General features: G+C 37.0%; 3 annotated features.

The window, feature by feature from the left end:
- Nucleotides 3,557-4,097: an enhancer, noted in NCBI's record as "H3K27ac-H3K4me1 hESC enhancer chr5:87348385-87348925 (GRCh37/hg19 assembly coordinates)". NCBI's record gives its function as "activates a minimal SCP1, AML or CMV promoter by ChIP-STARR-seq in naive and primed H9 embryonic stem cells {active_cell/tissue: H9 hESC(naive and primed)}" and the evidence as "EXISTENCE:reporter gene assay evidence [ECO:0000049][PMID:30033119]".
- Nucleotides 4,098-4,639: an enhancer, noted in NCBI's record as "H3K27ac-H3K4me1 hESC enhancer chr5:87347843-87348384 (GRCh37/hg19 assembly coordinates)". NCBI's record gives its function as "activates a minimal SCP1, AML or CMV promoter by ChIP-STARR-seq in primed H9 embryonic stem cells {active_cell/tissue: H9 hESC(primed)}" and the evidence as "EXISTENCE:reporter gene assay evidence [ECO:0000049][PMID:30033119]".
- Nucleotides 6,446-6,987: an enhancer, noted in NCBI's record as "NANOG hESC enhancer chr5:87345495-87346036 (GRCh37/hg19 assembly coordinates)". NCBI's record gives its function as "activates a minimal SCP1, AML or CMV promoter by ChIP-STARR-seq in naive H9 embryonic stem cells {active_cell/tissue: H9 hESC(naive)}" and the evidence as "EXISTENCE:reporter gene assay evidence [ECO:0000049][PMID:30033119]".

Below are 22,869 nucleotides of genomic sequence, written 5' to 3'. Positions count from 1 at the left end.
TTCTCCTTGAAGAGGTCCTTCACATCCCTTGTAACTTGGATTCCTAGGTATTTTTTTCTCTTTGAAGCAATTGTGAATGGGAGTTCACTCATGATTTGGCTCTCTGTTTGTCTGTTGTTGGTGTATAAGAATGCTTGTGATTTTTGAACATTGATTTTGTATCCTGAGACTTTGCTGAAGTTGCTTATCGGCTTAAGGAGATTTTGGGCCGAGACAATGGGGTTTTCTAGATATACAATCATGTCGTCTGCAAACTGGGACAATTTGACTTCCTCTTTTCCTAATTGAATACCCTTTATTTCCTTCTCCTGCCTAATTGCCCTGGCCAGAACTTCCAACACTATGTTGAATAGGAGTGGTGAGAGAGGGCATCCCTGTCTTGTGCCAGTTTTCAAAGGGAAGGCTTCCAGTTTTTGCCCATTCAGTATGATATTGGCTGTGGGTTTGTCATAAATAGCTCTTATTATTTTGAAATACGTCCCATCAATAACTAATTTATTGAGAGTTTTTAGCATGAAGGGTTGTTGAATTTTGTCAAAGGCCTTTTCTGCATCTATTGAGATAATCATGTGGTTTTTGTCTTTGGCTCTGTTTATATGCTGGATTACATTTATTGATTTGTGTATATTGAACCAGCCTTGTATCCCAGGGATGAAGCCCACTTGATCATGGTGGATAAGCTTTTTGATGTGCTGCTGGATTCGTTTTGCCAGTATTTTATTGAGGATTTTTGCATCAATGTTCATCAAGGATATTGGTCTAAAATTCTCTTTTTTGGTTGTGTCTCTGCCCGGCTTTGGTATCAGAATGATGCTGTCCTCATAAAATGAGTTAGGGAGGTTTCCCTCTTTTTCTATTGATTGGAATAGTTTCAGAAGGAATGGTACCAGTTCCTCCTTGTACCTCTGGTAGAATTCGGCTGTGAATCCTTCTGGTCCTGGACTCTTTTTGGTTGGTAAGCTATTGATTATTGCCACAATTTCAGATCCTGTTATTTGTCTATTCAGAGATTCAACTTCTTCCTGGTTTAGTCTTGGGAGAGTGTATGTGTCGAGGAATTGATCCATTTCTTCTAGATTTTCTGGTTTATTTGCATAGAGGTGTTTGTAGTATTCTGTGATGGTAGTTTGTATTTCTGTGGGATAAGTGGTGATATCCCCTTTATCATTTTTTATTGCATCTATTTGATTCTTCTCTCTTTTTTTCTTTATTAGTCTTGCTAGCGGTCTATCAATTTTGTTGATCCTTTCAAAAAACCAGCTTCTGGATTCATTAATTTTTTGAAGGGTTTTTTATGTCTCTATTTCCTTCAGTTCTGCTCTGATTTTAGTTATTTCTTGCCTTCTGCTAGCTTTTGAATGTGTTTGCTCTTGCTTTTCTAGTTCTTTTAATTTTGATGTTAGGGTGTCAATTTTGGATCTTTCCTGCTTTCTCTTGTGGGCATTTAGTGCTATAAATTTCCCTCTACACACTGCTTTGAATGCATCCCAGAGATTCTGGTATGTTGTGTCTTTGTTCTCGTTGGTTTCAAAGAACATCTTTATTTCTGCCTTCATTTCGTTATGTACCCAGTAGTCATTCAGGAGCAGGTTGTTCAGTTTCCATGTAGTTGAGTGGTTTTGAGTGAGCTTCTTAATCCTGAGTTCTAGTTTGATTGCACTGTGGTCTGAGAGATAGTTTGTTATAATTTCTGTTCTTTCACATTTGCTGAGGAGAGGTTTACTTCCAAGTATGTGGTCAATTTTGGAATAGGTGTGGTGTGGTGCTGAAAAAAATGTGTATTCTGTTGATTTGGGGTGGAGAGTTCTGTAGATTATTAGGTCCGCTTGGTGCAGAGCTGAGTTCAATTCTTGGGTATCCTTGTTGACTTTCTGTCTCGTTGATCTGTCTAATGTTGACAGTGGGGTGTTAAAGTCTCCCATTATTAATGTGTGGGAGTCTAAGTCTCTTTGTAGGTCACTCAGGACTTGCTTTATGAATCTGGGTGCTCCTGTGTTGGGTGCATATATATTTAGGATAGTTAGCTCTTCTCGTTGAATTGATCCCTTTACCATTATGTAATGGCCTTCTTTGTCTCTTTTGATCTTTGTTGGTTTAAAGTCTGTTTTATCAGAAACTAGGATTGCTACCCCTGCCTTTTCTTGTTTTCCATTTGCTTGGTAGATTTTCCTCCATCCTTTTATTTTGAGCCTATGTGTGTCTCTGCACGTGAGATGGGTTTCCTGAATACAGCACACTGATGGGTCTTGACTCTTTATCCAGTTTGCCAGTCTGTGTCTTTTAATTGGAGCATTTAGTCCATTTACATTTAAAGTTAATATTGTTATGTGTGAATTTGATCCTGTCATTATGATGTTAGCTGGTTATTTTGCTCGTTAGTTGATGCAGTTTATTCCTAGTCTCGATGGTCTTTACATTTTGGCATGATTTTGCAGCGGCTGCTACCGGTTGTTCCTTTCCATGTTTAGTGCTTCCTTGAGGAGCTCTTTTAGGGCAGGCCTGGTGGTGACAAAATCTCTCAGCATTTGCTTGTCTGTAAAGTATTTTATTTCTCCTTCACTTATGAAGCTTAGTTTGGCTGCATATGAAATTCTGGGTTAAAAATTCTTTTCTTTAAGAATGTTGAATATTGGCCCCCACTCTCTTCTGGCTTGTAGGGTTTCTGCCGAGAGATCCGCTGTTAGTCTGATGGGCTTCCCTTTGAGGGTAAACCGATCTTTCTCTCTGGCTGCCCTTAACATTTTTTCCTTCATTTCAACTTTGGTGAATGTGACAATTATGTGTCTTGGAGTTGCTCTTCTCGAGGAGTATCTTTGTGGCGTTCTCTGTATTTCCTGAATCTGAATGTTGGCCTGCCTTGCTAGATTGGGGAAGTTCTCCTGGATAATATCCTGCAGAGTGTTTTCCAACTTGGTTCCATTCTCCCCATCACTTTCAGGTACACCAATCAGATGTAGATTTGGCCTTTTCACATAGTCCCATATTTCTTGGAGGCTTTGTTCATTTCTTTTTATTCTTTTTTCTCTAAACTTCCCTTCTTGCTTCATTTCATTCATTTCCTCTTCCATTGCTGATACCCTTTCTTCCAGTTGATCGCATCGGCTCCTGAGGCTTCTGAATTCTTCACGTAGTTCTCAAGCCTTGGTTTTCAGCTCCATCAGCTCCTTTAAGCACTTCTCTGTATTGGTTATTCTAGTTATACATTCTTCTAAATTTTTTTCAAAGTTTTCAACTTCTTTGCCTTTGCTTTGAATGTCCTCCCGTAGCTCAGAGTAATTTGATCGTCTGAAGCCTTCTTCTCTCAGCTTGTCATAGTCATTCTCCGTCCAGCTTTGTTCCATTGCTGGTGAGGAACTGCGTTCCTTTGGAGGAGGAGAGGCGCTCTGCTTTTTAGAGTTTCCAGTTTTTCTGTTCTGTTTTTTCCCCATCTTTGTGGTTTTATCTACTTTCGGTCTTTGATGATGGTGATATACAGATGGGTTTTTGGTGTGGATGTCCTTTCTGTTTGTTAGTTTTCCTTCTAACAGACAGGACCCTCAGCTGCAGGTCTGTTGGAGTACCCTGCCGTGTGAGGTGTCAGTGTGCCCCTGTTGGGGGGCGCCTCCCAGTTAGGCTGCTCAGGGGTCAGGGGTCAGGCACCCACTTGAGGAGGCAGTCTGCCCCTTCTCAGATCTCCGGCTGCGTACTGGGAGAACCCCTGCTCTCTTCAAAGCTGTCAGACAGGGACATTTAAGTCTGCAGAGGTTACTGCTGTCTTTTAGTTTGTCTGTGCCCTGCCCCCAGAGGTGGAGCCTACAGAGGCAGGCAGGCCTCCTTGAGCTGTGGTGGGCTCCACCCAATTCGAGCTTCCCGGCTGCTTTGTTTACCTAAGCACGCCGGGGCAATGGCGGGTGCCCCTCCCCCAGCCTCGCTGCGGCCTTGCAGTTTGATCTCAGACTGCTGTGCTAGCAATCAGCGAGATTCCGTGGGCGTAGGACCCTCCAAGCCAGGTGCGGGTTATAATCTCGTGGTGCGCCGTTTTTTAAGCCGGTCGGAAAAACGCAGTATTCGGGTGGGAGTGGCCTGAGTTTCCAGGTGCCTTCGGTCACCCCTTTCTTTGACTAGGAAAGGGAACTCCCTGACCCCTTGCGCTTCCTGAGTGAGGTAATGCCTCGCCCTGCTTCGGCTCGCACACGGTGCGCGCACCCACTGACCTGCGCCCACTGTCTGGCATTCCCTAGTGAGATGAACCTGGTACCTCAGATGGAAATGCAGAAATCACCCGTCTTCTGCGTCGCTCAGGCTGGGAGCTGTAGACCGGAGCTGTTCCTATTTGGCCATCTTGGCTCCTCCCCATGTTCCAGTTCTTCAGTGTCTTGAAAGTTACTGCGTAGTAGCAGGTAAGAGTTGACCTCAATCAGAGCTAGACTTTGTTTCTAATACTAAGATAGGAATCTGTTGTTAACCAATGATTATCTAAAAATGTAGCATAAAAAAGGATCATAATGTGGTTGACTCTAATTTGGGATTAAAAATGACCAGATCAAGTGGTCAGAATACAATGTATTGAATTTGACTATACTAGTTCTTTTTGTCCTATAGAGTCATTAGAAGGCTCTAATATAGTAACAACATGTCTTTTATCTAGAGCTCACTCCTTCAGCTACTAAACCTAATGGTAGATATGGCTATGAGCAAGAGAGGCAGCCAAAATCAACAACAACAACAAACCAAAAAGCTTTTAAGAAGCAAATGCAGATGCCAAGATGTCTTCACACTATATTTCACATATTTAAGACAAATATAATGCCTCATTACCTCATATAATTTCAATGTCAGGTTATCTGGGTTTCTAGCCTGTTAGAATTTGAAATTGGAATAATAAATTGACTACTAGACAAAGGAATATTGATAATATTAAATAGATATAGCTGAAAACATGAAGAGATAAAAATAAGTATCATGTATAATAAATACTTTCACTTGTATGGAAACCTGATTCACTATCAGTGCCAGATAAACAGGGGGTCATTATATTTTGTAAAATAGCCAGAGTCTGCATATAAAGATTGAAGATTTCCCTACACACTTAAGTGCTTAAAAATAATATTGAAGAGCCCAAATTTGGAGGCTTTATTTTCTGAGTGATTCTATAAAAGAAAAGAGAGACCATAATAACTGTTCCCTTTTTAATCATTTGCCCTTACATTTGTTTTGTTTTATTTTATTTTTCATGAAAATTTTGATGTCTCTTGTCTCCTTGCCCTCTTCTCTTCAGAGAGCCATTTAATGTCTGTCAGATGTCATGTTATATGTTATAATAACACCACATGATTATATATAACACCATAAAACATATGTGTGTGACAGCTAGTCATAACCATGCCAATGATGATGATCAGATTCGATTATACATTTTTAAAAGTCTATATGACATTTACATCATAGGCGACTTCTGTGCTCATCTTTGTGGTGGTAATTTTTAAAATCATCTTTCTTTTTTCTTTTCTTTCAAATTAACCATTGCATGGAAAAAAAGATAATATCAAGCAAAAATTATGTTTGATGAACTTAAAGATACATTTTTTCAATCTCAATATTTTTGTATTAAACATTTGTAGTCATTGCATAAATTTTAGGCCATCTAAATTATTTGTAAGCATAAAGTAATGATTATCAAGCATGTTATTTTAGAAAAATTGCAAGAAATAATTTAGAAAGGAAGTGCAAATCTAATATTGTATGGAGGAGTAAATCAAAACAAGACTACATATGTTAAACTAGGAAAATATTATTGAACAAAATGAAAAAATATCTATGAAGAACGAAATAGAAGAAAAAATTGTTCCTGGAAAAAATGAAAAAGTAGAGGAATTTTTAAAATCTGTCCATTTTAATGACCTGATAACAGGGAAGAAAGTGGAGTTATATGTGAGTTGATTTGCTGCAGTCGCATGAGAACCACATTTTGTCTCAGAACTGCTGCATGTGGATCTGTGGAATGACTTTAGGAGGAATCCTAAGTGACTAAATTTCATGCAACAATCATTATTGTGGGCCTTTTTAAGTGATGCCCCTCTGTCTTTCTAGATTCTTATGTTATGTTTTTACAACTTTTACATTTTTCATGTGTTTCATAAAAAAACTCATAATAAAGATTTTACCCAATTGTAGCAGAAAGCCTTAAACAGAGCTGAAATACCTCAGTCATTTTCTTTTGATGTCTCTCAGAAATTAGCTAAGTTAAAGCCACTCATAATGTTACACTATAAGAACTTAAAATGGAGGACAAAATGCTTAATATTCCAAGCATGACCCAAATACTAAATACAAAGAGATCTGACAGAAAAGACTTTTGCTGAACTCTATGGAGAGCTATATTTGAGAAGAAAAAACCCAATAAATAAATAAAGTAAAAAAATAAAACCTCAAACTAAACCAACCATAAAAAATTCAGTGGTTACCTAACTTATACTTCATGTCATTTCGTTTCATGCTAAAGTAATGGCTAGCTAATTAGGATTTTTAAATAAAACTGTGTGATGCTTTTTTTTTTATGCTTTGCAACGTCTTAGTCAGGTATCTGCAAATAGTATTCGTGTCAATTGTCTAAGAGAAAAATATAGACTAATTAAAATGCTAATCTTTAGTAAACACATAAGCACTTGCATGAAAATTAAACACTTGTGTTGCTAATTCATGAATACATGCTCAGACATCAGGAACGCTGCAACTAGTGTGGACTTCAGTCTTGGGCTTAACAGCCTCGTCTACATGTCAAATCCACTTCAGGGCTGAGAGTATCCACCATTGAAATCACCCAGTGTGCCTTCTCACAAGAGTATCTAAGGAGAAAAGAAAAGTGATGTGTACTTTGAGAAGATTATTTAAAGCCTGCAGATTCATTAGGGGAGAACTTAATTGTGATAGAATCTATAATCCTTTCAGTTCATCCCATAAATAATAACAGTCTGAACTCTATTGAATCACATGGCCTTTTTTGCAAAAACCTATAGAAGAGAGTCCTCAAAACTGAATAGATGGAATTGAATGGACCTGATAAGTGGGAACTAGAATTTGATGGACAGCCTTTCACCTCTAGGTTATTGGTTTGTATCTGACCCAGGTGATGAAAAGTCGTTGTTCTACAATGGCTGTTTAGTAGTTTTCTGTGTAATGAGCTGTTGGCTTCAGTCCATTCCTCAGTGGACAGGTGTCTGATCGCATTCCCAAATCACCACTCCACTTGTCAGTCACATTTGAGGTCAAGGGCTAAATAGGAACTGAGGCCAAAATACTTTCTCATTCTGATAAGTACAGACCTTCCTTTGTTGGTTGACTTGGTTGAAAAACAAAAACTGCCATTGTCACTGTTCATGCTCTGCCTATATGCTATGTAAGAAGATTTTATTGTTTAGGACTTCTATCGTAATGAAAAATTATTAGTTTCTTGAATGTACATGTTTTTATTGTGACATATCATGAAAAGAGAGATGCCTAAATACACTCTCAGTCCCAAAGGACATTAAAATTTACATTTATTAATCTAACTGTAAGAGAAATATGTCATACTGAGAAAGCATTGGCATCTGGTTTTAATTCACTGACACAGAAGAATTGTGATATAGGCTCCAAATTCTCAGTAGTAAAACTGGCAATTAGAAGATAGCCAGCAGCTGAACATTATATGATCTTTCTGTCTGGAAGAACAGCTCTCTTTGAGGTGGGAGGTAGAAGAAGACATGTAGAAAAGACTCTCTATTTAATGCCTTCTGAAAAAGTGGGTATAAGCTGCTTCTGATAAAGTGGGTATAAGCTGCTTTAGTTTAAACTTGGTTTAAATACTATTGTTTCTATATTGTCCACCATTATACAAAGGTGGATTTATATTTATTAGCATTTCTGGAAAAGTTTGTGGCTTGGATTGATAAGTCAAGGCCAGAAGCCGGAGAACTCAGTTGTTTAAACCCACTGGATGTTTCAGACAAAGATGTGTTTTAAGTAAGAGTCATGCAGCTCTTGTTCACTGGCTTCTGTAGCTCTGGTCTTTACTCACTTAAGAAAAATAGTACCAACTTGGGTCATCTTATTGTCTGTCCTGGTGGGGTTTATTGCTAAATACATTTCTAACTTATTAAAAGTAACTGGATTGAATGACAAACTTTAAATCAATCTTAATTATCATGTATCTCATAGTTCATTTTTAAGCTTGAATCTATGTGATTAAAAATTACTAGCTAGCTCATTACACTGTTTCTTCTACTCATTGATCTAATAGCAAACATTCTATTGCTACAGTCCTTAGAAACTGAAAAAAATGACAAAATACTAGGAATCCTAAGGTTTGACATGAAACCAAGGGCTGTATTATTTCTTGAGAGATATATTTTCATACCTGTGCCCAGTTTTCTTGCCTCACTTTTATATTTATTTCTTTTAGGCCTATTGAGAAAATGATGCATTTGTTCAAGTTTTTGAAAAAACAAGCGGTAAAAACACTTGTTATTGGTAAAAACAAGTGGCAAGAATTTCCATGGGACTATCTGTAGACAAATTTCAATTGGTGTTTTCTCTTTATCCTCATAATATTTATGTAATTAGTAAACTTGAAGGGTAAAAATTTGACTTGAACTGTGACAATACCTAAATAGTTAATTTTTCTTTCCTTAGAAAATGAGCTTTATTAATGTAAATAGCTACTGAACTTTTTGAAACTTTAGAAATACCATAAATATTTATTGAATGCCAACCAGGTAAGAATAAGTGAGGGCCAAGAGTCTTAGAAAAAACACTTTAATAATTTTACTCTAAAAGGCAGTCAGGGTTGATACGATTTGGCTCTGTGTCCCCAACCAAATCTCATCTCAAACTGTAATTCCCATGTGTCAAGGGAGGGAGGTAATTGGATCATGGAGGCAGTTTCCCCTATGCTACTCTCATGAGAGTGAATGAGTTCTCATGAGATCTGATGGTTTTATAAATGTTTGACAGTTCCTACTTCAGAAGCTTTCTTTCCTGCCAACTTGTGAAGAAGGTGCTTGCTTCCCCTTCTGCCATGATTGTAAGTTTCCTGAGGCCTCCTCAGCCATGTGGAACGGTGAGTCAATTAAACTTCTTTCCTTTATAAATTACTCAGTTTGGGGTATTTCTTTATAGCAGTGTGGAAATGAACTAATAAAAGGTTATTTGTATTATATTCCCCTTCTTCAGTGAGATTGTAAGAAAACAATGAGTACCCCTTTGTATTGGGTGGGAGGTTCCTGAAGCAAGAGGTAGACTATTTTATCTTCAGAAATTCCTACTGGACTTGAGGGATTGCTTTCTAAACCCTGACACATGGAGAATCATATGTCGTGTTATCCATATTTAACCTGTTTATTCATATTGCTCTTGTCAGTATGTAGTCTGATCAGTCAACACCTGCCTGATTTGGAAGGGTTTAATTCTTAGTGCTTTTCTCATGCTTGTTAAATGATGCTTACTGAAGTCAACATAGCTTCAGGCCCACAATGCAGGATGCTGATGATGGAGTGTGTTAAGCAATGCTGCCCACATTTCTAGTGCCCCGTTAGTATTTGTCTTCCTATCTTATATCAGATGCTCTACCTAAAGATGTTAATCTTCAGAACAATAAGCAAGTTGAGTTCATATTCCTCCAGTTTTACTTAAAAATCATGTTGGATACCTGTGGTATTAAGTAACTGTGTGTAAGGTGAAGGCTTTGGGCAGGTGGTAGAGGCAGCTTGTGGCAGCCCCTTTCCCCCTGCTCAGAGTCAGTGCTGATTATTAACAGGAGATGGGTGCTGAAATAGAGGACTTGAGTGGGAGCCTACACGATTATCAAAGGTGTGGCATGCATGTGTGCTTATGTGTGCGTGTGCGTGTGTGTGTGTGCACATGGTGTTTTAAACACAACTGTATTCAGTTAATCACATTGGTGGGAAACAAGTCTTGTGGTGGCATTGGTAGGTTTGCAGCAAGTTATTCAGTCTGGCAACTATTGCAAATTAGGGCCTTATTCAGGAAGGGATATCAGTTTAAGAGTAGACAGAACACACTTACTGAGGTTAATTCAGACCTTCTTTGAATGGGGTACATTTTCTTAGAAGCAGCCACAAAGATAAATGCATCACGTGAACCTCGGAACCGAACTGCTGAATGAAGATATTGGAGGACTGGAGCTATTCATTTCCATTTACAGAATCCAAATTGCTGAAAAGTCATGGGAAGGCAGGAAAGAGACTTCTTGTTTTTTAAAATGCTCCCTGGCATTTGTCTGCCTGCGTCATCCAATGTAGTATCTCATTCTGCTGCCACCCGGAGTCCCATTCACTGGTTTGTTTAACCTCAAAGTGGGAAAGTAACTAACACAAATACATTCATTGTCCATGCTCTAATAGAATTAAGGTTCCCAATACACTGCCTGCATTTGAATGAGGTTTGTTACACACTGGCTTTTATGGTCACACCCTTTTCCCTTGATGGTTCTTAAGAATGGTAGAAGCAGGAGACCAGAAATTTTGTAAGCTCATAAATATGAAGCACACTGTGCTTAAATAACGCCAGGGTGGTGATACAAATGGACCAATGCCAGGAAACTCAAAGTTAAAGCTAACAATTCATCCTTACATCACTATGAATAAGAAGGGAGGAAAAAGGGGCACTGTGTTAGTTATGGTTGTGCTGCCAGCAGATTGGGATAGCTCTAATGGGCCGGTGTGGCACAGAGCTTTGAATTGCACAGTGTTTACCCAGAAGACAGGAAGTAGGTCTATTCTGCTTCAGAAAGGCCAGCTCAATAAATTAGGGAATTACATAATATTGTTTATTTCACACTGTACATTATCAACTTGACTGTAAGCATTTAGAAATAAATCTATATCTAGTATCTTGCCAGTTGGTGGCAAAGACTGGTACAGGACACTTAAAACAGAAGCAGTTATTATGGGACTGTGTGGGCAGGACCATGGCATTACATTTGTGGTGGTAAAGCAGCAAATATTTATCTTTTTTTAACACTAAGGTGAGAGGAAGATGAACGTTCTTTAATTAACAATTACTGAACAAGTAACTTTCTAAAATACAATCAATCACTTTTAAAAATAAAATAAATTACATGTCATTTTCTGCTTGATATGTAATTGCATTTGATTTGTCTTGTTCTTAATATATGCATTTTATTTTCATAATCTTTAACTCCATATTTTATATAAACTAAATTTCTTAAAACTCCACATTGCTATGCTCTGCCTTACCTTATTTTTCTTTCTTCTGCAATGGATTTTAGTGCCAACCCAGATTCTTCAATGCCTTAGGTAACCCATGGTTGCAGGCAATGCCCCTTTGGCAGCCACTTTAGTTCTTTTGGGTACTAGATTCTCTTTGGAGCCAATTAAGCCTGAAGAATGCCTGAATCCTTGAATAGCTGTACTCAAAAGGCAGTACGCATAGAGATATCCTCTTGGAAGTGTATTCTTTTTCCCAGCAGGTTTTAAAATATAATAATAATAATGAAGACACTGCTACCGCTGCTACCACAACCAGCTAATAGTAGTTTACTCCATTCTCCCTATGTGTTGGGCACCGTGCTAAGTGCTCTTTGTGAGTTATCTTATTTAACCTTCATAAAAAACTCTGTGGAATAGGTCCTATTACTAATCTCATTGTATCAGTTAGAAATGCTTACAGCTGCAAGTAACTGAGAGCTCAACTTAGAATAGCAGAATAAATTAAACATAGGTGCTTTTTTTTTAACATAAAAAGAAGTTTTGAGATAGGCAATTATGGATAGTTACTCTGTGTCTCAGTGATGTCAGGGCCAGTATATTTGGGATTCTCCAGGCGTTTCCCTCAAATTGCAAAATGATTGCCACAATTTAAGACATCTCTTCTGCATTCAAAGCAAGAAGATAGAGAAAGAGGTAGAGCTATCTACCTCTGTCTCTTCTAGAGGCAGCAAAGGGTTTCTTAGTGTCTCCTACCAGAGATATATCTCACTAGCCGTAATGATTCCATATGGACAGCATTATATCCTAGCTGGAAAGTAAGTGGCTAACTCTTTCACCTTCTATTGGTGTAGCCAGACTAAGTATTTGTTATTCCTACGTAGAGATAAGGATAACAGGGCACAGATAGGCTAATTGCCTAATTTTAAGGAGCTGGTGAGTGGCAGTGCCAGGATTTGAACTCAGGCTGTGTGATTCCAGAGCCCACATTCTTAATCAGGATGACACCTGGTTTTCTCCATTTCTTTAGTTCATTTTTTCCCCATATGGTGATGTGGCAACCAGAGGGAATACTTAAATAAAGTAGTTCTCATATAATTTGAATCTACAGGACTGTTTCAATATCAGTTTAATTTATACAGCCCTCATTTGCCACCGTATTGCTAAAGATGGAAATCTCCAAAGCATATTATCTAACTGTATTTAAACAGGCTATCATCTTGTCACTTACATGTGTTACTGAATAATCTCACCACTTATGGACAAAAACTATTATTTTAAGAGCTTTAATTCCTCTTATTTTTTACACTGAGAACTGAGCATGCCCAAGTATGCTTTGAAACCTGTAATTAGGATACAAACTGTCTTATTGCCAAGCAATTCTTCCTTCCTCTCACCACAAACTCCATAATAGTTTTCTATTGCAGATAATTGTCAGAGATATTAGCGTATTTTTTCTTAATTAAAAAAATAGCATTAGAGCTTCCTCTCACTTTTAAGGTCCCTTGGTTATAAATTTGTTAGTTGTTTTATTTGATTAGCAGTTAGCTGTAATTACAGACATTTTGGGGATATCTGCATATCTTTCCAAAATGTAAGGAAGCTAGAAGATACACAGGGGTCCACTTGCTAAAAAATAAAGCAACAGGGAAGGGCTTGTTCCAGTTCTCATTGCCATTCTTTTCCCTGGGAGTTACTAGTGAATAGAGCAGGTATAATACCTAGCAATGCCACATATATTATACACTGGTTTTATTTGGTTCATAATAAAGGTGATGCATTCCAATTCCAAAATGGATGAGACTTACATAAAGTCTAAAAAAAATCGACAACTTTACACCGTGAAGGTCCTAGAATATGTAAACATAAAATATGTAATCTATCTTTGATTTGCGCCATAATGATCCTTTGCTTTGAAATCATGGCTATATTACCAAACTGACAGTTTTAATGGAAAAAGTGGCTTTCAAAAGCTGCTGTTGAAAACACACTGCATAATTCTCCAAGTCGTGAATATTTTACTACCAACATATGCAAGAAGGCAGTGAAAACACACTGGCATTTTATTCCCTGCGAGCTGGAATGGAAAACATTCACTGGTGTTAAAACTGCATATTTGTAATATATGAAAATTCTTAAATACCTATGTATGTACACTGTTGTTACTGGCAGGAACACCACTTCATAGAGTCATTTGGAAGACAATAAATGTGTATATTTTCATTTGTAATTTTCTCATTCAGCAAATATCCATTGGGGCCCATTGTATGTCAGGCACTGTACTAGGCTCAATACGAAGATGAACAGGGAAAATCCCCCACGACTGCTATCAGTGAATTCAGTCTAGTGGAGGTGTGTCATGTAGAAGGCTCTGGGTGAATGCTGTGGAGGCACTTAGGGAAGGCTGGAACTCATAGGCAGGGAAGTCAAGTGCAAAGTTCCTTGAGTTTCTTGCAGCCTGTGGAAGGTATGTTTGGGCCAGAGAACAGTTGATGGCCCTGTTTGGCTGTGTACCAGCTGATAGACCCTGCCCTTCTGTGGCTTTTGTGGCCAAGACAGTGTTAGTTGGGGGACTGAGAGGTAATAATTTTCCCATCAGTGCCAAGTCTGAGCATCAGTGCTAGCTGTTTTTAGAAGTGATGAGAAATGCTAGTTCCCTACACGGAGACCTGGGACCCCTGGTTCCTTAGGAAGTCAAGGTAGGGTACAGCCCATTTTTCGGAAGGGAACTATTGGCCATGCTTCCCCCTAGCTCACTGACAGGCCACCAAGGATAAACCTTGATTGGATCTTGGATTAAAGTAAAAAAAAAAAAAAAAAAGAAAGCTATAAATAACATTTTGAGGATAATTTGGGATATTTAAATATGAGCTCTATGATAGATGACATTATTTGTTTAATTTTAAATTTCTTTGGGTGTGGTAATTGTATTGTTGCTAATAGGAGACTGTTGAGGTACTTAGGGGTACCCCATGATACTTAGGGGTATCATGATACTGGCAACTGATTTTTCAGATGGTTCAGGAAAAAATGTGTGTGTGTGTGTGTGTGTGCATGTGTTCATGTACTTGTGTGGTGAGAGAGAGATTGAACAAGTGTGCCAAACTGATAACAAATTACTGAATTTAGGTGAAAGAAATGTAATTTTTTTCTTCATATGGCTTTCTCCCTGCATCTCTGTGTGTCATCTTCTCTTTTTTAAAGTTTCATATTATTGTAATTGGCATATAATAACTTTACATATTTATGAGGTACAATTTAATGCTTTGATACATGTATACATAATGATCAAATCAGGGCAATTAACCTCAAATATTTATCATTTCTTTGTGGTGAGAACATTCAAAATCATCTCTTCTAGCTATTTTGAAATATGCAATACATTATGGCTAGCTATAGTCAGCCTGCTGTGCAATAGAACATCAGAATTTATTTCTCCACTGACTAACTTTTCCTGTTCCTTTCATCTTACCTTGTCTCCCCAGCCTCTGGTCACCACTATTCCACTCTACTTCTACGAGTAACTTTTTTAGATGTCACATGATTGAGATCATGTGGAATTTGTCTTTCTGTGTCTGGCTTACTTCATTTACCAAATGTCTTCCAGGTTCATCTATGTTCTTAAAAATGACAGGATTTTCTTTTTTTTAATTGCTGAATAATATTCTTTTGTATAAATATTTCATATTTTATTTTTGCATTTAATTGTTGTTGAGTATTTTGGTTGATTCAGTATCTTCACTATTGTAAATAATGCTGCAATAAACACCAGAATGCAGATATCTCTTTAATGTACTGACTTCATTTCCTTTGGATATATACCCAGTAGTGGGGTTTCTGGATCATATGGTGGTTTTATTTTTAATTTTTTGAGAAACCTGCATATTGTTTTCTACAATGGCTGCACTAATTTACATTTCTACCAACACTATGTAAGGGTCTCTTTTTCTCCACATTTTCGCCAACACTTGTTATCTTTTGTCTTTTTGATAATAGCCATTCTAACTGGAGGAAGGTGTATCTCATTGTGGTTTTAATTTGCTTTTCCCTGATGATTAGTGATGTTGAGCATTTTAAAATATATTTGTTGGCCATTTGTATGTCTTCTTTTGGAAATGTCTATTGAGGTAGTTTGCCCATTTTTTAATCAGATTATTTTTTGTTGTTGTTTTGCTATTGAATTGAGTACCTTATAAATTCTCGACATTAACCTCTTATCAGATGTGTAGTTTGCAATTATTCTTTCCAATTAGGTAAGTTGTCTCTACATTCTGTTGATTATTTTCTTTGCTGTGTAGAAACTTTTCAGTATGATGTAATTACATTAGTCTATTTTTGCTTTTACTGCCTGGGCTTTTGAGGTTTTAACCATAAAGTCTTTGTCCAGAACGATGTCATGAAACATTTATCCTATGTCTTCTTCTAATAGTTTCATAGCTTTCAGTCATATATTTAAGTCTGTAATCCATTTTGAGTACAGAACTTTTTTAAAATAAGATTTTATAGCTTTGTATCCAGAAAATTCATAAACAATGACAATATATGTGCCCTAATTAGGACAGTTTGCACAGAAATTTAGTGGCTAAGTTTGGCCCACTGTTGAAAAAGACAGAATTGTGTAATTCAAATGTGTTTATGAAATTAAAAAACTTTTAGATACCATTGTAACAACTATATTACAATCTCTTAGCTAAATGAGTAGTTACTGAACAAAGTACACAATAAAGGAATTAATATATTTTCCAATTATTCTTCCAGCCTAGGCATATCAGTCAGATTTCTGATATTTGATCTATAAAAATAGATGCAGAAATAGATATGGACTTAGAGGGAAAAAATTATACAATTGGGTTTGGACAAAAGTTCATCCCCTACTGTCTCCCTAGCCCCTATTACTACTTTTTATGGGAATGCCTCCTGTTTTATTATACAATATATGTCAGTATATCTAGATGTTGATTAGGTTATCAAACTTTTGAATTTCCATCTCACTCTTACTTCCTGCTGTCTCTTTCAGTGTCCATTAACTTCTTGACAACATTGCAGGAGGGAGAAGAATTAAGAGTACTATAGACTGAATTCCTCCCACCCTGCCAAAATCCATAGGTTACAACTCTAACCCGCAATAGCTTTGAATGTGACTGTATGTGGAAATAGGGCCTTTAAAGAGGTAATTAAGGTTAAATGAGGTCATAATATAACCAAAAAGGAAAGCTGCAGACCAATATCCCTGATGAAGATAGATGCAAAAATCGTCAATAAAATACTAGTGAACAGAATCGAACAGCACATCAAAAAGATAATACATCATGATCAAGTGGGTTTTATCCCAGGGATGGAGGGATGGTTTAACATACACAAGTCAATAAATATTGATAAGCCACATTAACAGAATTAAAAACAAAAACCATATAATCATCTCAATAGACGCAGAAAAAGCATTTGATAAAATCCATCATCCTTTTTTTTTTTTTTTTTTTTAAGACGGAATCTCGCTCTGTCACCCAGGCTGGAGTGCAGTGGCGCGATCTCGGCTCACTGCAAGCTCCTCCTCCCGGGTTCACACCATTCTCCTGCCTCAGCCTCCCAAGTAGCTGGGACTACAGACACCCGCCACCACGCCTGGCTAATTTTTTGTATTTTTAGTGGAGACAGGGTTTCACCGTGTTAGCCAGGATGGTCTCGATCTCCTGAGCTCGTGATCCGCCCTCCTCGGCCTTCCACAGTGCTGGGATTACAGGCGTGAGCCACCGCGCCTGGCCCATCATCCCTTTATGATAAAAACCCTCAACAAAATAAGCATAGAAGGGACCTACTTCAAAGTAATAAAAGCTATATATGACAAACACACAGCCAACATCACACTGAATGGGGAAAGCCTGAAAACATTCCCCCTGAGAACTGGAACAAGACAAAGCTCCCCATTTTCACTACTTCTATCCAACATGGTACTGGAAGTCCCAGACAGAGCAATCAGGCAAGAGAAAGAAATAAAGAGCATCCAGATTGGAAAAGGGGAAGTCAAACTGTTGCTGTTCACTGATGATATGATTGTACACTTAGTAAACCCTAAAGACTCCTTCAAAAGTTTCCTAGATATCATTAAAGAATTCAGTAAAATCTCAGGTTACAAAATCAATGTACACAAATCAGTAGCACTGCTATACACCAACAACAACCAAGCTGAGAATCAAATCAAGAACTCAATCCCTCTTACAACAGCTGCAACAACAACAACACACACACACACAAACTAGGAAAATACTTAACCAAGGAGGTGAAAGCTCTCTATAAAGAAAACTACAAAACACTGCTGGAAGAGATCATACGTGACAGAAACAAATGGAAACACATCCCATGCTCATGGACGGGAAAAAATCAATATTGTGAAAATAACCATACTGCACAAAGCAATCTACAGATTCAATGCAATTCCCATCAAAGTACCATCATAATTCTTCACAGAGCTAGAAAAAATATTAAAATTCATATGAAACCAAAGAAGGGCCCACATAGCCAAAGCAAGACTAAGCAAAAAGAACAAATCTGGAGGCATCACATTACCTGACTTCAAACTATACTGCTTGGCTATAGTTACCAAAACAGCATGGTACTGGTATAAAAATAGGCACATAGGCCAATTGAACAGAATACAGAATACAGAAATAAAGCTAAATATTTACAGACAATTGATCTTCAACAAAGTATACAAAAACATAAATTGGGGAGAGGACACCTTATTCAATAAATGGTGCTGGGAAAACTGGCAAGCCATATGTAGAAGAATGAAAGTGGATCCCCATCTCTCACCTTACACAAAAATCAACTCGAGATGGATCAAAGACTTAAATCTAAGACCTGAAATGATAAAAAAAATTCTTTAAGATAACTTCAAAAAAAAATAAACAACTCTTCTGGACATTGGCTTAGGCAAAGAATTCATGACTAAGACCCTAAAAACAAATGCAACAAAAACAAAAATAAGTAAATGGGACATAATTAAACTAAAAATCTTCTGCACAGCAAAAGAAATAATCAGCAGAGTAAACAGACAACCCACAGAGTGGGAGAAAATCTTCTCAAACTGTGCATCAGACAAAGGACTAGTATCCAGAATCTACAAGGAACTCAAACAAATCAGTAAGAAAAAAAAAATGATCCCATCAAAAAGTGGCCAAAGGACATGAATAGACAATTCTCAAAAGAAGATATGCAAACAGCTGACCAACATTATGAAAAAATGCTCAATATCACTAATCATCAAGGAAATGCAAATTAAGACCACAAAGAGATACCGCCTTACTCCTGCAAGAATGGTCATAACTAAAAAGTCAAAAAATAATAGATGTTGGCATGGATGTGGTGAAAAGGGAACACTTTTACACTGCTGGTGGAAATGTATATGAATATAACCATTATGAAAAACAGTATGAAGATTACTTAAAGAACTAAAGGTGAACTACCGTTTGATTCAGCAATCCTACTACTGGGTATCTAGCCAAAGGAACAGAAGTCATTATATGAAAAAGACACATGCACATGCCTGTTTGTAGCAGCATAATTTGCAAATGTAAAGATATGGAACAAACCTTAATGCCCATTGAGAAATGAGTGGATAAAGAAAATGTGGTATATATACACCATGGAATACTACTCAGCCTTCATAAAAAGAAACAAAATAATGTCTTTTGTAGCAACCTGGATGGAGCTGGAGACCATTACTTCAAGTGAAGTAACTCAGGAATGGAAAATCAAATATCGTTTTTCTCACTTATAAGTGGGAGCTAAGCTGTGAGGATGCAAAGGCATAAGAATAATAAACTTTGGGGACTTGAGGAGAAGGTTGGGAGGGGGATGAGGGATAAAAGACCACATTTTGGGTACAGTGTACACTGCCTGGTTGACGGGTGCACTAAAATCTCAGGAATCACCATTAAAGAACTTACCCATGTATTCAAAAACTACCTGTACCCCAAAAACTATTGAAGAAAAATGAGGTCATAAGGGTGGGGATCCAATTCAATATGAGTGGTGTCCTTATAAGAAGAATAAAAGACACCAGGTATGCACAGACACAGAGGAAAGGCCGTGCGAGGACAGAGCAGGAAGGTGGCCATCAGCAAAGCCAAGAAATGAGGCATCAGGAGAAACTAAGCCAGCTGACACCTTGAACTTGGGCTTTCAGCCTCCAGAACTGTGAGAAAATAAATTTCTATTGTTTAAGCTAACCAGTATGTGATATTTTGTTATGGCAGTCCAAGCAGACTAATGCAATGAGAAAAGATTTAAATGAATTAGCATGCTTATTGACAAGTAAAGGACTGCTGGCTGCTCCCCAATATTTGTTCTCCTTTTCCTTTCCTTTCTAAGTGGTAAAACACTGATTATTAACTAGTTGCATGGTTTCCTGGAATAAAGATATATTTTCCAGCCTCCCTTGTGGCTGAGTATAGACATATTATTAAGTTCTGGCTAATGGAATATAAATAGAATTTGTATACACCTTTCAAAAAATGCTCTTAAAGAGAGAGAGAATGTAACTCCTTCTTGCCCCCACCCCCTTTTTTTCCCTTTCTTACTGACTGGAATGCAGTCACGATGGCTAGAACTTAAGTAGCCATCTTAGATCATGAGGTAGAAGACATATATTGAGGTGTCAACTGCCTAGGTCTTTGATTGTGGGGTCTTACAAAGAACCTGGACTGTTTATTTACAGATTTTGTTTATTTGAGAGAGGGAGAAAAAAAATCTCTCTTTTCTCAGTTGTTATATGTTTGGTTTTATGTCATTTATTGCTAACCCTATTTTGAATTATTTAGCTAACTGCTCCCATGTAATTTTCACCTCTATGTCCTTGATCTACTCTTCTGAATAACATAGTATGGAACAGGTCTAATTATATTTCCACATGACAAGCATAATGCTCAAAGACTAATACCCTGTCCTCCCTAGGTCTGTAAACTAACTTCGGTTGGCCCTCCATGACAGTGGATTCAACCAACCTTAGGCTGAATATATTTGAAAAAAAACCACACAATAAAAATAACATACAAAATAAAAAGATACAAATAAAAACAATACAGTGTAACAATTATTTACATAGCATTTACATTGTATTAGGTATTATAAACAATCTAGAGAGATTGAAAGTATATGGAAGGGTGTGCATAGGTTATATGCAAATACTGTGCCACTTTATATAAAGGACTTGAGTATTTGCAGATTTTGTTATTTGTCAAGGGTCCTGGAACTAATCTCCTGCAGATACCAAGGAACAATTGTATAACTGATACCTCAACCATACCTCATAAGACGGCTCTTTGACCACCTTAATCATTCTCCTGAGGCCCTGGTTTATTCAGTCATTCTTTATTTCCATAAATTGAGAGTTAGCTGCATGGTATATATTTCATATAACTAGAAATTATGCATCACAAAATAATTCTAGTTTTGGGTGCAGTGAAAGGAAATATTTGGTAGGGAATGACCTGAAACTGACTTAGAAATGATTTTTAGAACATATTTTTCAATTTATTCTTATTCTTTAAATCATAGATCTCAGTTGTACTAATAGATATATCAGTTTGCATAGTTCCTTACTCAATAATGTTTTTCAACATCTGACCATTGGAATTACCAAAGAGAAGAGAGAATCTTCTCCTATTGCTGGGCAGAAATGGGTATGCTAATAGGTCATTTGTTTCTCACAGTTCTGCAGCTGCTCTTCTAGTTAACATGGTGAAAGGTAAGCTGGATGGCGAACTTGAGCAATTTGCTGCAATCTGCAATGTAGAGAACATTTTTCAAAACTGTCTTAATAATAGCCTAACGTGTGAAGTTATATCTCATCGTGGTTTTGATTTGCATTTCTCTGATGATTAGTGATGTTGAACATCTTTTCCTATACCTTTTGGCAATTTTTAACATCTTTTTTGGAGAAATGTCTTTTTAAGTCTTTAGCTCATTTAAAAAATCAGGTTATTGTTATTATTCTAGCTACTGAACTATGGGAATTGTTTATATATTTTGGAAATCAACCATTTATTTGATATATAATTTGCAAATATTTTCTCCCATTCTGTAGGCCTTTTTCCTACTCTGTTGATTGTTTTCTTTGCTGTGCAAAAGATTTTTAGTTTGATGTAGTCTCACTTGTCTATTTCTGCTTTTGTTGCCTATGTTTTGGAAGTCATATCCATGAAATGAAAAACAACACGTGTTGGTGATGATGTGGAAAAATTAGAACCCTTGTTCTAATTTCTGCAAAATGGTGCAGTAACTATGGAAAACAGTGTGGAGATTCCTCACAAAATTAAAATAAACTACCATATGATCCAGCAATCCTACTTCTGGGTACTTTTCCAAAAGAACTGAAATCAAGATCTTAAAGAGATATTAGCACTTCTGTGTTTGTTGTAGCACTAGATGCAATAGCCAAGATGTGGGAAAAACCTAACTATTTATCCCCCATTTTATTTATTTTCAATAAAGAAAATGTGATAGAAACAATGGGGGATTGTTCAGACTTTAAAAAAGGAAATGCTGGCGTGTTTTATACTATGGATAAACATTGAGAACATTATGTTAAGTGAAATAAGCCAGTTGCAGAAGGATAAATACTGTATGATTTCACTTATATGAGGGATCTAAAATAGTCAAATTCACAGAATCAGAGAGCAGAATTGTGGTTGCCAGGGGCTTGAGGGAGGGAGAAATGGGAGTCACTAATCAATGAGAGTAAAGTCTCAGTTATGCAAGATGAATACATTCTAGAGGCCTATTGTATAACATTATCCCTGTAATTAACAACACTATATTGCACAGAAAATTTTCTAAAAGGGTAGATTTCACATTGTGTTCTTTACAACACAAAATAGTTTTGTTTTGTTTTTTTTTGTTTTGTTTTTTAGAAAAGCTGTCTTTTCCTTTTGCATGCAAGAGTCTTTATAGGCTTGAATAAAAATGTCTTTGCAATGTTCACATCTTGGGTCTGGATCAGCTAACCAAAAACATTTATTGAGAATTTAAGTTGTATATATAACACATTCCATTGGAGTTAGAGGAAGTAGAAGATATAGAATTTTTGCACTTAAGAAGTTTGTGTGTTATTATAGACTTTTTGATAATTGTCTGAGAGGATCTATAAGAAACCCAAAGAACTGGATAATTTCAGTGGTAGAATCTAAACTATATTAGGACAGAAATGAGGTATGTTTTGCCTGCTACTTTAACCTACTACCAAGCACAATGCCTGTCATACTTTATGTACTCCTGGTTTATTTTATTTTGAGGTATGTTTTGCCTGCTACTTTAACCTACTACCAAGCACAGTGCCTGTCATACTATATGCACTTCAGGTTTATTTTATTTTAGTATCACTTGCTTGAATGAAATAGGGCTTTTAAAGTATATTTTCCTGATACAATGCCAAGTGCAATGAACGATCATAAAACTGGTATCTATTTTGATCAATGTCTATATAACATCATGCACAGATGGAGATTTAGCATTATTTAGTTGACCTAACGAATCTGGCAATCTAGTCCACATTTCAATTGATGTATTTGACAGATTGAATAGACATAAATAAATATACATTAAAACTTCACCTGTCTGAATTTGGTGGATCCAAAGCCATAGATATATTCTGGAAGACTTTAGCAGT

This window comes from Homo sapiens, chromosome 5, assembly GCF_000001405.40.
Source record: "Homo sapiens chromosome 5, GRCh38.p14 Primary Assembly".
Taxonomy (NCBI): domain Eukaryota; kingdom Metazoa; phylum Chordata; class Mammalia; order Primates; family Hominidae; genus Homo; species Homo sapiens.
Note: the sequence above shows the minus strand (reverse complement) of the source record. Positions and strands in the feature narration are given on the sequence as shown.